Raw genomic sequence first — 18,154 nt, 5'->3', positions numbered from 1 at the left:
TTATAGTAACCAAACTAGTTTCCTAAACAAGGCAGTGAGTTTGCCTCTCTTAAGGATGGGGTCATTAGTTCCCTCCCCTTTTCTACCACCATATCCAGGACAGGCTGGGCTGAAGTCTGTCCTAGGCATGGTGATAGAAATGTTCAGGTTATTTGGAGTCATAAAGTTTCCATGGACTGCACTCGCTTTTCTAAATCTGTGAGGTGCTCTTTTAAACGGGCTGTCATCTTGGTCTAACTCTGGTTGGCTGCTGTTACATCTTGGTGTGGATTCATATGTCCCTCCCCTCCCTAAATGCTCTACAGTCCTTAGAAAAAGTCCCAAGCCAGAGCACCTAGAGCTCTTTTTTTTTTTTTAATTTTTTTTTTGAGAGGGAGTCTCATTCTGTCACCCAGGCTGGAGTGCAATGGTGCGATCTCAGCTCACTGCAACCTCTGCCTCCTGGGTTCAAGCGATTCTCCCACCTCAGCCTACCGAGTAGATGGAACTACAGGTGCCCACCACTACACCTGACTAAGTTTTGTATTTTTTTTTGTAGAGATGGGTTTCATTATGTTGGCCAGGCTGGTCTCAATCTCCTGACCTTAGGTGATCTGCCTGGCTCGGCATCCCAAAGTACTGAGATTACAGGCGTGAGCCACTGCACCCAGCCCACACCTAAAGCTTTGATATAAAGTAATCAACTCTACCACAAAGCCAGGAAGTAGCACCAGTCCAGTAGCAGAATAGGGAAATGCCAAACCAGCTGTAAGTTGTACCTTGTAATGGGTAAGGCACACAGAAACATCCAGGGTAAGAATAGACACTAACAGAAAGTGGCCCTGTCTGGATCTCTCACTAAAGAAAACAAGCATCTTCTGATCCGTTTGCCATAACAGAAGCAGTGTGCCTCTAAACAATGTGCAGATGACTGCATTTTATCTAGCCTGGGGTTAAACAGATGAGTTCTGTTTGCAGCTCTTAAAATCTCATAAACCTTCTGTGCACACATTCACCACCACCACCATCCCCAGATCCTTCCCATTTTTTTGCCACTCCCCCTTTTATAATTTTTAAAAAAGAAAAACAACAACAATAATTAAGGGAAAGCTCCCCAATGTCAGACACACTGCTAGGACACTTGAAAGAAATGACAGGGCTGTGAGAATACAGTGTCTGTGGTTAATCAAGCACTGTCAATGAGGGTCAGAATCACCCTGTAATCTGTGGAGGTGGATGTTAAAACAGCTCTGTAAGTTGCTCAAATCAATGAAGATTTGACAAGCTCCCAGCTCGGTGCATGTAGAAAGCAGCTTGTGAACAAATCTATAAGGATGAACAATAGAATTCTCTCTACTTTTTTGTCTTAATTTGGCTATGTATAATAATGAAAGATCCTTGAGCTTGGGGTAATTTAGTTAGAGTTTTCAGATAAAAAATTAAATTGTTTGTGTACAAGTTATTATAGCATCAGCTGCTATTATTCAGTGCAGTTTGCTTTGCTGTATTTTAAATCGCCCATGACAAATGGAGCACAAATGGATAATCTGTCACTCTAGCCATGGGAAATAAAGGCTCTGGATTTCACCTTTCCCTTTCTTTAGAATTTCATTTTTGATTTAGAAAACTTCCAGCCTTCGGTATATCTTTTATCATAAGAATTCTTTAAGTCTCTCTCCTCCACCTCACCATGCTCATTTTCATTTCCTTTTGGTTCATGTTGGAGATATCCGATACACTCAAAAAATTTTTCTTAACCTGTACTTTCTCTCAAAATCCACTGAAGATATTTCTCTGCATGAAGTGAAACATGTGGTTTTTCTGCACTCATTTTAAGCCCTTAGGATAAATCACTGACATTTGCAACACACAAACATTATTTGCCTTCAAATGAACATACAACCAGCCCTCCCTCCGGACTCTCTTAGCATGAATGCTTCCTGTTTAAAATGGAAAGAGAGAAAGGAAGAATTCCAGGCCTTGGACTTTTAGGGTCCTGTTCTCTCCCTGGAGATTTCTCTCTCTTAAAACAGAGCATTATAAAAGACAGGCACGCCTTGTTTTTTTAAATTTTTGGAGAGAGAATCCAGATCAAGTGGTGACAGGGCAGAAGCCACCCTGAGAGGTTGTGACAGTACAGTCGGCGAGCACATGGGGGGACAGTCGCTATCTCTTCTCCCACACCTTGCTCCTCCCAGGCAGCCAGTGCTCACAGCTCACAGTGAGGGGGAGGCTTCCCGTGGGCAGATAGGGCAGACCTCAAGATACTTTTGTGGTCCCATATTGCTTCCTCTGAGGGGAGGTTTTATGTCTGGGAGTTTGCTTGTATGTGGCAGAAAGCAAGAGAGGTAGCTGTTCTTTGTCAAGAAATGAAGTCATGGAAATTGTCTTTTTCTGTGGAACTCATCATAACAGTTAGCATTTTTAATTTTTCAGAGAGAAGAAAAACAATGAGTTGGCCTACTAAAACACTGTTTAAGGTTCAAAGAGTGCTAGAAGAATTTTTCTTTATTTTGGGGGATGGTGTGTAGCTGTTGTTTATAACAACATTTTGTTCATAACAGAATTTCCTACAGACTTTTGTCAGAACAACTTCTAAGTTCTTCTGACTATTATGTGTGTATTATTTTAAATTATTAAAAAAACTAATTTTGGCCGGGGGCGGTGGCTCATGCCTGTAATTCCAGCACTTTAGGAGGCCAAGGTGGGTGGATCACTTGAGGTCAGGAGTTTGAGACCAGCCTGGTGAAACCCTGTCTACTAAAATTACAAAAGTTAGCTGGGCGTGGTGGTGCATGCCTATAATCCCAGCTACTCGGGAGGCTAAGGCAGGAGAATTGCTTGAACCTGGTAGGCAGAGGTTGCAGTGAGCTGAGATTGTGCCGCTACACTCCATCTTGTGCAACAGAAAGAGACTCTGTCTCAAGAAGAATTTTGAAACAGGGAAAATAAGCCCCTCCTCATCAACTACAGAACTTAGAGGAAGAAAAGGCAGCTAAAATTTTAGTTTTGTTAATCGTGAGTTTCTCTTTTCATAGTCTCTTTATTTGTGTGAAATTTAGTGTTTGTAGGAAAGCCCAAAACCAATCCATTCTGGGGCCCCAGCAATGCTCATCACGGTGTCGGATGCTGTGTGCTTTGAGCCAACCCTGAGGAATCCAGGGGCAGCTTCCTTAGGAGATTCTGATTAAAACAAGAATCCGCATAACAAATGTATCAGTATTTTAAGACCTTTCATTTTTCATGTGACTTCTTGAGTTTTGTTTGTATATGTTACTGTTTTTCTTTAAAAACTTTCAATTTAAAAATTTTACTCAGAAACCATATTTACTTAAGGAAAGAGAAACAAGCCCATATTTGTTTTCTTTACAACTCGTAGAGGGGGCTGTCATGAAAATACCTATATTTTGAAATTATTGCTTATTTTATTTCGGATTAGGCTCATTTCCAGAGGCCAGAAGGATTCAGATTTTGCTTGGAAAACTGATAGGAACTATCTCAGGCATGCAGTTTTCAATCACATAGATGCACGCAATAAAGAAAGTTAACCATTAAGTCTGAACACGACAAAGATATATGTTATTTACATGTAAAGAAGCAATAAGCATCACTTTGTTTACATAAGGATTTCTTCTTTTTGCCATGTCAGTATGTCAGTATTTTTCATTAAGCAAAAGGGGGGCTGGAAATCAGAGACTAAGCTGGTCAGATAGCCAGCTCTGGGTGCTGACTACCTTCAGTTTACGCAAGGATGAAAGACATCTTCCTACATTTGCTAAAACAATTCTGTATAGGGAAAGGGCTCAATACTGGAAGGACAAAATTAATAGCAAACCTCTTGCTAGGAATGAGGTGGCTGTACTTACTGGAACAGATGAAGGGGCATGAGCAATTTTGAATCCTCCTATGTCTACACCACCACCCTCAATTGCAAAGAAAATCTCTCTCCTCTGTCTCTGCCACAGCTGGTCATTCTCACCTCATCTGTCTTTCACCCTGCCTTGTGGCTGGTTGTATACTGCATGGAGTACAAGCATCTTGAAGGAAGGAACTGAGTCTTACATATCTAACTATCTCCCTTCGAGCTTAACACAGGGCTTTGCACATCACAGGTGCTCTACAAATGTATGTTGAATTTGTTCAAGAGAGTTTAAAGTAAAGAGAAAACCCACACACATACAGTAACTATAAAAGGTTGAATGTGGGTAGGGGCTGGAGGAAGGTAGGGGAAAAGAGGAGAAAGTGGGCTTTCTTTGGGAGCCAGGGATTGATGGTGGTTGAGGTGAGACTGATTTCTAAATTCTGAAGAAGGAAGGAAGTAGGAGGGATGGTGGGCTGAATAAAGGGTTGTATTGGGTCCAACACAGAATGACTGTAAATTTTATCAGGGTAGAGGTTATTTTATTTGTCTTGTTTGCCAAGAACAAGATTATACTGTCTTATCTCTGTTGCCCTACAGAGTACTTGAAATACAATAGGTGCTCAATAAATCTTACACTGGGATTCAATTTCTCTGACTTCCCAGTGAGCTCAGCATGACTAACTGGTGCTGAGGAAATTGAGAGCTCTCTTGACTCAAGATTAACTGGAAACTGGGCTTACTAGGTACAGGCTAAGCGTATTTATTCAAGGGTCAGTTAACTACTATTTTTATGATGGTACAGCAAAGAAATTTTCTTTGTCTCTGTCATAAATGCAATAATCTAGGAACATCTTTATGTATTTCAAAGTACAGTACACAGGATTTCAAACACAGGGTCTTAGGGAGACAATGTCAAACCCAGGTGTGATGACCATAGTTACAAGTGTGGTACCTGGGCTTGAGGGCTGATGAACACGAACCCGAGGTCAAGGTGGTGTCCTGTTCCCTCTGTCCCAGTGCCTCCCAAGCTTTTCTCCCTGAGAACAGACGTGATGGATGATTTTCATATAAGCTACTCATACCCAGGAGAGGCAGAATCCAGAATTATGCAAACTTCTCTGCCACCTGCTGTAACTCAACACCCTTTCCTTCCATCCAGGAAAGAACAAGGGAATTCAAATGAGTGGGAGTGACATTATTGAAGGGGAAAACTTGAGTCTGCTATAATTTATTAAAAGAAATCATTTGTAATCCTGTCTTCAAATATCAGTGACAGATTCTTGCAATACAGAACTGAGCACACTTCCTCTACATGTCTCAAGGCAGAGTGTAAGAACTCCTACAGTATCTCATCTGATGAGCTCCTTTTAGGATGTGGAAGGATAGATGAAGTTGAAGAGTCACAGAGGGGAAAAACAACTAAGTTGGAGACACATCAGCAACTAGAAGATAGTTTGTTTTGAAAGGGGGTGAGTTTAGTATGTGAAGAAATAAGATATGCAGCAGAAAGTATAAAAACCATGAAGAATTTATGAGCAGAGGTGTGAATGTCCGGCTTAGGCATATGCATTGGGTTTTTCACTTACAGAAAACCTTCCAAAGGGTAGAATCTTGTTCTTAATTTCTATAAAATACTATGTGTGTGATTAGCAGCCAAAACAAAGCTAATTTTTTAACTTCCAAAGTAGCCTTTATGGGTTTCCTTTTTTGGTAATAATTGACTGTGGCCAAATTTGGGGTTTGAACGGCAGGAAGTAACATGATGTAAAACTCCTGTGAGCTGTCTAAGAGAGGTGCCTGTACCCGTTGGCAGAAAGTCGACATCTGGCAGAGCCATGCTATTCTTGAGCATGCCACACATAGATTATTTAGTGGCTGAGCTGGGGTCGGTGCTTTCTTCTCTGGTTCTTCTACAAATACTGCAAAGCTTTAAAAAAAATCAGCACAAACTAATATACTTGAGTCGCCCATGCTATGTGCACAGAGATGCTTTTAGTCTGTGCTTAGAATTCCTTTAGTGTCAGGTTTCCAGTTACCAGACCTTCCTCCTCGGTCCAGGCACGAATGTGGTTGGCAAGGATTAGCAGAGCCCTCTGCAACGTATATTACATAGCTTTGATTTCGGCAGATTTTACGGAATCATAAAATATAATGATCATTTGATGGCCTATATTATAGAAATGATTATGGAAAAAAATCCGCTTTCATCACTCACATTTCCCATTGTGTTATGAGAAGAGGGGGGTCTTGTTCTTTCCAAAGAACTGGAATGGGTGGAGTGTGCAGCAGCAGATGCTTGTGGCCCTCATACACACCAAGGAAATGTTTGTACAGAAAATGAAGGAGAAAGGATAGTGACTGAGTGCTCAAAGACATTTCTCAAACAGTTTAAACAAGTATAATTTTGGTTGCTCATATTTAATTCCTTCTTTTTTTTTAAACAATGACCACAAATACAAGAATTGAGTTATTAACAAACTGCGTGTGCAATGAGTTTTGGATTCTGTATGACAGTTCAGCAGACATTATCTGGAAAATGGTCCTTAAGAGTGTTTCATCCTATCAGATGGTCCTAAAAATGGTCCTGCTAAAATAATTTCCTTTATGAGGGGATGAGAGGTTTTTAAAGTGGGTGCTGAGAACAATTAGAAAAGATAACTGAGAACAACATAGAGAGGGAAATCTTGGGGAAGGCAGAAGCTATCCTGCGCGGCCACAAAAAACAGTCATGCAATCCATTTGAACGATACCTGCATATCATTACCCCATGGTCTGTTTATCCACAGAACAGGCTTTGTTTAAAGAGAATGGCAACCAAAGGAACAAATCATCCTAACTTGATAGGCCCCTTAAATCATCTCTCTCTCTTTCTATTGTAACTGTGGTCCTAGAATTTCAGTATCTAAACACTGTGGATTTCGTCTGATAATCATGTAGCAGACAATGGTTCAATTCCAAGGTCAGACTTTGGGGGCTAACAGGTTCAACAGTGTAAGGTCCTGATTTCCTCCTGCCCCTTAGGAAAAACCACTACACAGTTACCTGCCCAAGGTGCTACCTGGAGACAGAACACTCTAGGGGCAAAATATACTGTTCCTGAAGTCTGCTTTTCCCTAACTATTTTAGATTACATATATATGTTAGAGTAGCACATGCAATTTTTGCAGTAGATATTTATGCATCATGGCCACATCTTTACCTGACCCCTTTCCCCTCCCATTAATTTCTAAAGCCTGTGCAATAGGAAGATTTTGATGTAAACTACCTATGATCATTAGATTATTAGAATCCCTCTTCACCAAGGGCAAGGAGTACAACGAAGGAGACTTAAACACTTCCATCTTCATGCCTCTGTGTGTGTGTGTGTGTGTGTGTGTGTGTGTGTGTGTGTGTGTGTGTGTATGGGTGTTGGGGGAGAGGGCCTCCATGTCATGATTTCATTAAGACACAGGAGAATCCTGCCACGGCAATTGTCTTACTCTGAAATTCAGAAGCAGAAATGTAAGTGCAGGGAAGAGTGCCACTCTACTTGATGGGCTCAGTAACCAGCTTCAAACATTGGGTTTAGAATTGCAAAGATTCATAAGCCTGCTGAGCACAGCAGCATGTTCCCAAGTGCCTACAGCAAGTTAGTTTCCATCCTAAATGTTTCCTCCATTTGACGGATTTATTCCTCATAACAATGTTACCAGGTAGGCATTATTATTATCCCTGGCTTTCAGATGAGGAAACCGAGAAGCAGAGAGGTTAAATAATGTGATCAAAGTCACACTGGTAGTGGCAGAGCCCAGTTCAAGCCCAGGCAGACAGACAGACCCAGAGGCTGCATGCCTGACCACTAAGTTAGACCATGCAGTCTCTGACCTCACTTGCTTCTCATCTGCTCACATGGTGCCTGCTGGCACCGGGTGAAAGAAATTGGTTTATATTTGGAAACACATTTCTAAAAAACAGGATCTAATGCACTAAAAAGAGACTTCTTTTTTTTTTTTTCCAATGGGTACTTTGGCTGTTAGCGGCCCAAGAAGCTGAAACTGCTGATGGTGCTTGCAGAAAGAGCACAAACAACATTCCATGTGGGAAGTTTCATTCAGAGACCTTGAGGTGCCTTTCTTAAGGAAAGCAAAGTTTCTTGGTGCCCTTTATGAAAATCAAACAGATATTTGTGCGGTTCCGTTTGGAAGACCCTGTGTTCCAGGTCTAGTACCTTGAACGTTGGCATCACTAAGAATCAATTGAGTCTTTATTGAATAACACAGATTCTGGGGTTGCAACCCCAGGAAAAGGTCTGAAAGGGGTCTGGGAGCCTACATTTCTCTCAAGGGCCCAGGTGATTCTGATGCAGGTGGAGCTGGCACCCAGCTTTAAGGAATCCCTGTGGCTATGGGGGTTTGTAAGACGTGTTACCTGCTCTGCAAATAACCTGGAATATAAATATAAGTCAGTTATCCTGAGCATCTGAAGAGATAAACAACAGGAGGAAAGATACAGAGCTAACAGCCTTGGAAAGTGTTCTGGAAACAGAGACATTCCTCTGATGCTGGCTTGTCAAGAGCAGGCAAGTAAGAAGCAGAAGGTTGGTCTAGAGAGGGTATCTGGAGCCTGATCATGAAGGGTCTTAAATACCAGGGGCAGCATAGGAAGGATTAAAGAGTGTGATTTTGGTGGGGAGGGGCCAAGATGGCCAACTAGAAACAGCTGTGGTCGGAGGCTCCCACTGAGAAGAAAAAAATGGCAAGTGAATTCTGCACCAGCTACTGAGGTATCCAGGTTCTTTCATTGGGACTGACTAGGTGGGTGGCATGACCCATGGAGAGCAAGGAAAAGCAGGGTGGTGTGACAGCCCACCTGGGAGCCACATGGGGCAAGGGAAGCTCCCACCTCCAGCCAAGGGAGGCAGTGAGTGACTGTGCTACTTCATCTGGGAAACCATGCTTTTCCCATGGTTCCGTGTAACCCATGGATCAGGAGATCCCACTCGTGAGCCCATGCCATCAGAGCCCTGGGTCCCAAGAACAGAGCTGTGTAGATTCTTGGTGGCCACTTGGCTGCAGACTGCTTAAGATTACTGAGTTCCTGTGGGGAGGGGTGGCTGTCATCACTGTGGCTCCAGTCTGCCATTTTTCCCCTGCTGGCGCCAGGGAGACTAGATGGTTTGGACCCAGGAGGAATTCCCCACAGTGCAGCACAGCAGCTGTGGCGGATCGTGGCCAGACTGCCTCTTTAGGCTGGACCCTGATCCATCCCTCCTCACCAACTGGGTCTTCCCTGCAGGAATTTAAGCAACTCCAGCCAGGATTTTAGGGACAGAACTCTGATCTCGCTGGGACTGAGCTCCTGAGAGGAGGGGCGGCTGTGATCTCCATGGATCAGCAGATGTAGTCTTCCTGCTGCTGGCTCTGAGGAATCCGGGCAGTCTGGACAAGTGGGATTCCTCCCAGTGCAGCACACTCCCTTCGCCAAGGGGCAGCCAGAGCACTTCATTAAGCAGGTCCCAGTTCCCGTGCCTCCTGACTGGGTGAGACCCTCCAACAGAGGTTCCCAAACACCTTATACAGGAGCATTCCTGCTGGCATCAGGTCGATGCCCCTCTGGGACAGAGATCCTACAGGAGGGAGCAGGCAGCCATCTTTGCTATTCGGTAGCCTCCACTGGTGATACTTCCAGGTGCAGGAGAAACCCAGGTGAATAGGGTCTGGAGAGGACCCCTACAGAAGAGGGGCCTGACTGTTAAAACAAACAAACAAACAAAAAACAACAAAACAAAACACACACACACAACTAAAAGGAAGCAACAACAATAGCACCACCACCACTACCAACAAAAAACCCCATAAAAACCCCATCCAAAGGCCAGCAGCCTCAAAGATCGAAGCTAGATAAACTCATGAAGATGAGAATCAACAACAACAACAAAAAGACGATGAAAACTTAAAAAGCCAGAGTGCCTCTTTTCCTCCAAACGATTGTAACACCTCTCCAGCAAGAGCACAGAACTGGGCAGAGGCTGGGATGGATGAATTGATAGAAGTAGGCTTCAGAAGGTGGGTAATAACAAACTTCACTGAGCTAAAGAAGCATGTTCTAACCCAATGCAAAGAAGCTAAGAACCATGATAAAAAATCCCAAGAGCTGTTAACCAGAATAACCAGTTTAGAGATGAACAAAAATGCCCGATGGAGCTGAAAAACACATCACAAGAACTTCACAGTGCAACCACAAGTATCAATAGCTCAATTGACCAAGAGGAGGAAGGAATTTCAGAGCTTGAAGACTATCTTGCTGAAATAAGACAGGCAGACAATATTAGAGAAAACAGAATGAAAAGGAATGAACAAATTCCCTGAGAACTATGGGATTATGTGAAAAGACTGAACCTATGACTAATTAGGGTACCTGAAAGAGACAGCGAAAACAGAACCACGTTGGAAAACATACTTCAGGACATCATCCAGGAGAACTTCCCCAACCTAACAAGACAGGACAACACTTAAATTCAGGAAATCCAGAGAACACCGGTAAGATACTCCCTGAGAAGATCAACCCCAAGACACATAATCATCAGATTCTCCAAAGTCAAAATGAAGGAAAAAATGTTAAGAGCAGCCAGAGAGAAGGGCCAGGTCACCTACAAAAGAACGCCTCTCAGACTAAGAGCAGACTTGTCAGCAGAAACCCTATGATATGGTTTGGCTGTGTCCCCACCCAAATCTCATCTTGAATTCCCAAGTGTTGTGCGAGGGACCCAGTAGGAGGTAATTGAATAATGGGGGCAAGTCTTTCCCATGCTGTTCTCATGATAGTGAATAAGTCTCATCAGATATGATGGTTTTAATAATGGGAGTTTCCGCATAAGCTCTCTCTCTTTGCCTGCTGCCATCTATGTAAGACATGACTTGCTCCTCCTTGCCTCCCACCACGATTGTGAGGCTTCCCTAGCCACATGGAACTGTAAGTCCATTAAACTTCTTTCTTTTGTAAATTGCCCAGTCTTGGGTATGTCTTTAACAGCAGTGTGAAAATGGACTAATACACCCTACAAGCCAGAGGAGACTGGGGGCCAATATTCAATATTCTAAAAGAAAAGAATTTCCAACCCAGGATATAATATCCAGCTAAACTAAGCTTCATAAGCAAAGGAGAAATAAAATCCTTTCCAGACAAGCAAATGCTGAGGGAATTTGTCACCAGCAAGCCTGCCTTGCAAGAGCTCCTGAAGGAAGCACTAAATATGGAAAGGAAAAACTGGTACCAGCCACTGCAAAAGCACACTGAAATACACAGACCAATGACACTGTGAAGCAACTGCATCAACAGGTCTGCAAAATAACCAGCTAGCATCATGATGATAGGATCAAATTCACACATAACAATATTAACCTTAACTGAAAATGGGCTAAATGCCCCAATTAAAAGACACAGAATGGCAAGCAGCATAGAGTCAAGACCCATTGTATTCTGTATTCAAAAGACCCATCTCATGCACAAGGACACACACAGGCTCAAAATAAAGGGATGGAGGAAAATTTACCAGGCAAATAGAAAGCAGAAAAAAGCAGGGGTTGCAATTCTGGTTTCTGACAAAACAGACTTTAAGCCAAGAAAGATAAAAAAGACAAAGAAGAGTATTACATAATGGTAAAGGGATCGATTCAACAAGAAGAGCTAACTATCTTAAATATATATGCACCCAATACAGGAGCACCCAGATTCATAAAACAGGTTCTTAGAGACCTACAAAGAGACTTGGACTCCCACATGATAATAGTAGGAGACTTTAACAACCCATTGTCAATATTAGACAGATCATGGAGACAGAAAATTAACAAGGATATTCAGGACTCGAACTTGGATCTGGATCAAGTGTATCTGATAGATATCTACAGAACTCTCCACCCCAAAACAACAGAATATACATTCTTTTTGGTGACACATGGCACTTACTCTAAAATTGATCACATAACTGGAAGTAAGACATGCCTCAGCAAATGCAAAAGAATTGAAATCATAACAGAGACCACAGCACAACCAACTTAGAACTCAAGATTAAGAAACTCATTCAAAACCACACAACTGCATGGAAATTGAACAACCTGCTCCTGAATAACTCCTGCGTAAATAATGAAATTAAGGCAGAAATCAAGAAGTTCTTTGAAACCTCTGAGAACAAAGAGATAACACAGCAGAATTTCTGGGATGCAGATAAAGCAGTGTTAAGAGGGAAATTTATAGCACTAATGCCCACACCAAAAAGCTAGAAAGATCTCAAATTGACACCCTAACATCACAATTAAAAGAACTGGAGAACTAAGAGCAAACAAGCCCAAAGCTAGAAGAAGGCAAGAAATAATGAAGATCTGACCAGAACTGAAGGAAATAGAGACATGAAAAACCTTTCAAAAAAAATCAATGAATCCAAGAGCTGGTTTATTGAAAAAATTATTAAAATAGACCACTAGCTAGACTAATAAAGAAGAAAAGAAGACTCAAATAGAAACAATATAAAATGATAAAGGGGATAACACCACTGACCCCACAGAAATACAAACAACCATCAGAATGCTATAAACAGCTCTATGCAAATAAACTAGAAAATTTAGAAGAAATGGATAAATTCCTGGACACATAACCCTCCCAAGACTGAATCAGGAAGGTGAATCCCTGAATAGACCAATGGGCTCTGAAATTGAGGCAGTAATAAATAGCCTACCAACCAAAAAAGGCCCAGGACCAAATGGATTTATAGCTGAATTCTACCACAGGTACAAAGAGGAGCTGATACCATTTTTTCTAAAACTACTTCAAACAATTGAAAAGAAGGGACTTCTCCCTAACTAATTTTATGAGGCTAGCATCATCCTAATATCAAAACCTGCCAGAGATGCAACAAAAAGAGGAAACTTCAGGCCAATATCCCTGATGAACGTCAATGCAAAAATCCTCATTAAAATACTGGCAAACCAAATCCAGCGACACATCAAAAAGCTTATGCACCACAATCAAGTCAGCTTTATCCCGGGGATGTAAGGCTGGTTCAACATATGCAAATCAATAAATGTAATTCATCACACAAATAGAACTGAAGACAAAAATCACATGATTATCTCAATAGATGCAGAAAAGGCCTTTGATAAAATTCAACATTCTTTCATGTTCAAAACTCTCAATAAACTAAGTATTAATGGAACATACCTCAAAATAATAAAAGCCATATATCACAAACCCACAGCCAATATCATACTGAATGGGGAAAAGCTGGAAGCATTCCCCTTGAAAACTGGCACAAGACAAGGATGCCCCCTCTCACCACTCCTATTCAACACAGTATTGGATGTTCTGGCCAGGGCAATGAGGCAAGAGAAAGAAATAAAGGGTATTTAAATAGGAGAAAGGAAGTCAGACTGTCTCTGTTTGCAGATGACATGATTCTATATCTAGAAGACCCCATCTAGAAGATTCATGCAATTAGCCTACTAGAAACCTATTTAATAAATGTGCTGGGAAAACTGGCTAGCCATATGCAGAAAATTTAAACTGGACCCCTTCCTTATACCTTACATAAAAATTAACTCAAGATGGATTAAAGACCTAAATGTAAAACCCAAAACTATAAAAACCCTAGAAGAAAATCTAGGCAACACCACTCAGGACATAGGCACAGGCAAAGATTTCATGATGAAAACATCGAAAGCAATTGCCACAAAAGCAAAAATTGGCAAATGGGATCTAATTAAACTAAAGAGCTTCTCCACAGCAAAAGAAACTATCATCAGAATGAGCAGACAGCCTACAGAATGGGAGAAAAATTTTGCAGTCTATTCATCTGACAAAGGTCTAATATCCAGAATCTATAAGGAACTTAAATAAATTTACAGGAAAAAAAATCCCATTAAAAAGTGGGGGAAGGACATGAACAGACACTTCTCAAAACAAGACATTTATGTGGTCAATAAACATATGAGAAAAAAGGTCAACGTCATTGATTGTTAGAGAAATACAAATCAAAACCACAATGAGATACCATCTTATGCCAGTCAGAATGGTGATTATTAAAAAGTCAAGAAACAACAGATGCCAGCGAGGCTGTGGAGAAAAAGCAACGTTTTCACACTGTTGTTGGCAATCTAAATTAGTTTAACCATTGTAGAAGACAGTGGCAATTCCTCAAAGACCCACAACCAGAAATACCATTTGACCCAGCAATCTCATTATTGGGTATATACCCAAAGGAATATAAATCATTCTCTCATGAAGATATATGCACATGTATGTTCACTGCAGCACTATTCACAATTGCAAAGACATGGAATCAACTCAAATGCCCATCAATGACAGACTGGATAAAGAAAATGTGGTACATATACACCATGGAATACTATGCAGCCATAAAAAGGAATGAGATCATGTCCTTTGCAGGGACGTGGATGGAGCTGGAAGCCATTAGCCTCGGCAAACTGATGCAGGAACAGAAAACCAAACACCGTATATTCTCACTTACAGGTAAGAACTGAACAATGAGAACACATGGATACAGAGAGGGGAACAACACACACTGGGACCTGTCGGGGTGGCAGTGGGAGGGGCAGCATCAGGATAAACAGCTAATGCATGCAGGGGTTAATACCGAGGTGATGGGTTGATAGGCACAGCAACCCACCATAGCACACGTTTACCTGTGTTACAAACTTGCACGTCCTGCACATGTATCCTAGAACTTAAAAGACTAAACCTGAGAAAAGAAAACCAACTGAGTTAACAACAACACCACCAACAACAAAGAGTGTGATTTTTATTCAGTAGGATTAGGAACATGGGGGTGATGTGGATTACCTGTGGGAAAGCTCTACTTGGAGGTTCCCTAGGCACCTCAACCTTATGAGTACAAAATTAAACCAATCACCTCTCCCTAAACCTGCTGCTCCTCCAACGGTCTCTTTGGAGAATGTCATGATTCGTGCAGTTAGCCCACTAGAAATCTAGACTTCTCTCTCATCCCTGCTCCAGTCATACATCGGGTTCTAGCAAATATTCTCTTAGCTATTCATGGCTGTCCACTTTCATGCTGCAGTCTTGATTTAGGCTCAAATCCCTTTTCCAATGGACCATTCCAATAGTAATAGTATATTAGGATTCAAAGACAGGCAGGAAAAGTTGTGGTTCAGCTTCAGAGAAGGGCAGGTCAGCAGTGCAGAACTGTAGCATCAGTGCATGTGACTCTGAAGGACAGCTGAATTCTATAGCCAGTTGCTTACCAACTTTGAAGAAATTTTGAGGACATCACACTCTCGGATGAAAGCATGGTAATACTGTAACCATAGGACCAGCCCAAACTGGGCCTACTCTGTTGATAACAGAATAAAGTTACCATGTAGGTAAAATAGAGCCAAAACTGTAAGTCGGGCAGCCCAGGCATGTGCAAGAGAGAAAGCTTTGACCTCTAACAACACCCAGAACCAACGATTCCTCCCTACAGAACCAAGAAGATTCATACGTGACTGGAACCTGAATGCAGAAACTCTTTCAGAAGTGAAGAGTCTGTTGGCCTGAAAAATCCAGGGCTAAAATCTGCCTCAACATACCTTAATGTAAATGGTCGAAATTGAAGCTCTCCAATGAGACTCTACAAAACCAACATTCCTAAATCTTTTCCCTTGCCCTCTGACACCTCAAAACTTGCCCCAGACAGCAAACTGGGGATGCAGATTTGAGCCCAACTCCTTTTTCCTTGCTGTCTGGTCTTGCAATAAAGACTTCCTTTTCTCAAATGTTGGTGCCATGTTATTGGCTTCTATACTCATCAGGCAGTGAGACCACTGGCATGATAATACAACTTCTGGAGACAGGTGAATTCAGTCTTTTGGGAACTGTGTGAACATTAGACTTTTTAGATGTAGTGCTATGAAATTTAAATACTGATAACCTAATTGGTAAGAGCTTTTTGCATGTGCCTCAATGTAAGATCTACCATGAGCCTTTAAAAAATTTTTACATCTGGTAATCTATTCCCCCTAAATTTATAATACTAAGTGAGGTTTATATAACATATTCATGAACCTCTGGGTTCACTTTCTGTTGAAAGAAATGAGCATGTCTCCATTTGGTTCAGTTCTGCTCTAATTTTGGTTATTTCTTTTCTTCTGCTAGCTTTGGGGTTGGTTTTGTTCTTGTTTTTCTAATTCCTGTAGGTGTGATATTAGGTTGTTAATTTGAGATCTTTCTAACTTCTTGATGTAGGCATTTAGTGCTACAAACTTTCCTCTTAACACTGCTTTAGCTTTATCTCAAAGATTCTGGTATCTTGTGTCTCTGTTCTCATTAGTTTCAAAGAATTTTTTGATTTCTGCCTTAATTTCATTCTTTACCTAAAAGTCATTCAGGAGCAAGTTGTTTAATTTCCATGTAATTGTGTGGTTTTGACAGATCCTCTTGGTATTGATTTCTGTTTTTATTGCAGTGTGGTCCAAGAGTGCAGTTGGCATGTTTAGATTTTTAAAAATGTATTCAGATTTGCTTTATGGCCAAGCACGTGGCCGATCTTAGGTATGTTCCCTGTGCAGATGAGAAGAATGCATATTCTGTGGTTGTTGGGTAAAGTATTTTGTAGATGCCTATTAGGTCCAATAGGTCAAGTATGGAGTTTAAGTCCAGAATATCTTTCCTAGTTTTCTGCCTCAATAGCAAACAACTAATGCTGTGAGTGGGGTGTTGAAGTCTCCCACTATTATTGTGTGGCTAAGTTTCTTTGTAGGTCTCTAAGAATTTATTTTTATGAATCTGAGTGCTCCAATGTTGGGAGTATATGTATTTAAGATAGTTAAGTGTTCTTGTTGTATTGAACCTTTTATCATTATGGAATGCTTTTTTTTTTTGTCCTTTCTGATGGTTGTTCATTCAAAGTCTGTTTTATCTGATAGAAGATTAGCAACCCCTGCTCCTTTCTGTTTTCCATTTGCAAGATACATCTTTCGCCATTCCTTTACTTTGAACCTATAGGTGTTGTTGTGTGTAAGAGGGGGTCCCTTGAAGACAGCAGACAGCTGAGTCTTGTTTCTTTATCTAACTTATCACTCTCTGCCTTTTAAACGGGAGTGTTTAGCCCATTTAAATTCAAGGTTAATATTGATATGTGAGGATTTGATCTTGTCATTGTGGCGTTAGCTAATTGTTATGTGGACTTGATTGTGTAGTTGCTTTAAAGGGTCTGTGGGCCACGTACTTAAGTGTGTTTTTGTGGTGGCAGGCATCATTCTTTTGTTTCCATGTTTAACATTCCCTTTTTAAGGCAGGTCTAGTGGTCCCTTTGCATTTCTCTGGCTGAAAAGGATTTTATTTCTCCATCAGTTAGAAGCTTAGTTTGGCAGGATACGAAATTCTTGGTTGGAATTTCTTTTCTTTAAGGATGCTGTAAACAAGCCCCCAGTCTCTTCTGGTTTTTAAGGTTTGTGCTGAAAGTCCGCTACTAGCCTTATGGGGTTTCCCTTCAAGGCAAGTGACCTGTCCCTTAACTCACACAGTCAGAATGGCTTTTGTTATAAAGTCTAAAAACGACAGATGCTGGTGAGGCTGCAGAGAAAGGGGAATACTCATACACTGCTGGTGGGAATGTAAGTTAATCCAGCCACTGTGGAGAGCAATCTGGAGATTTCTCAAAGAAGACTGAACTACCATTCAATCCAGCAATTCCACTACTGAGTGTATACCCAAAGGTAAATAAATCATTCAACCAAAAAGACACACGTACCTCTTTGTTTATTACAATGCTATTCACAATAGCAAAGACATAGAATCAACCCAGGTGCCCATCAACTCTGGACTGGATAAAGAAAATGTGGTACATATACACCATGGAATATCATGCAGCCATAAAAAAAGAACTAAATCATGTCCTTTGAAGCAACATGGATGCAGCCAGAGGCCAGTGCCCTAAGTGAACTAATGTAGAGATAGAAAACCAAATGTCACTTGTTTTCATTTTTAAGTGGGAGCTAAACATTGAGTACACACAAACAAAGATGAGAACAATAGGCTCTGGGGACTACAAGAGTAGAGAGTGAGGGCTGAAAAACCACCTATTTATGCTCGCTATTTGGAAGACACATTCATTTGTAATCCAAGCCTCAGCATTATGTAATACACGTAGGTAACCAACTTACCCATGTACTCCCTGAACCTATAATAAAAATTAAAAAAAAAAAGAAATGAGCACATTAGTAGTTTAATTGGGATAAGGTAGTCAAAAGATAAATGGATCAGGGACCAATGTAAAAATGAGGAGTGCCGAGTTTGCTTCTGGGTAGGAAGGATTTGACATTA

General features: G+C 41.2%; 1 protein-coding gene across 16 annotated transcripts in view; it reads right to left on the bottom strand.

The window, feature by feature from the left end:
* PARD3B (par-3 family cell polarity regulator beta) overlaps positions 1-18,154 on the bottom strand; it is a 1,074,688-nt gene that overhangs the window by 5,089 nt on the left and 1,051,445 nt on the right. The window contains exon 25 of one of the 16 annotated variants that reach the window (XM_017003287.2): positions 4,553-4,878. The exons of the other annotated variants lie outside the window; for them this stretch is intronic. Coding sequence (XP_016858776.1) covers positions 4,779-4,878 — 100 coding nt within the window. The 3' untranslated portion in view covers positions 4,553-4,778. Of the gene's footprint in view, positions 1-4,552; positions 4,879-18,154 lie in introns of those variants that run through there. 16 annotated transcript variants of the gene reach the window in all.

This window comes from Homo sapiens, chromosome 2 (assembly GCF_000001405.40).
Source record: "Homo sapiens chromosome 2, GRCh38.p14 Primary Assembly".
NCBI classification, from domain to species: domain Eukaryota; kingdom Metazoa; phylum Chordata; class Mammalia; order Primates; family Hominidae; genus Homo; species Homo sapiens.
The sequence above is the reverse complement of the archived record's forward strand: the minus strand, read 5'-3'. Positions and strand labels throughout refer to the sequence as shown.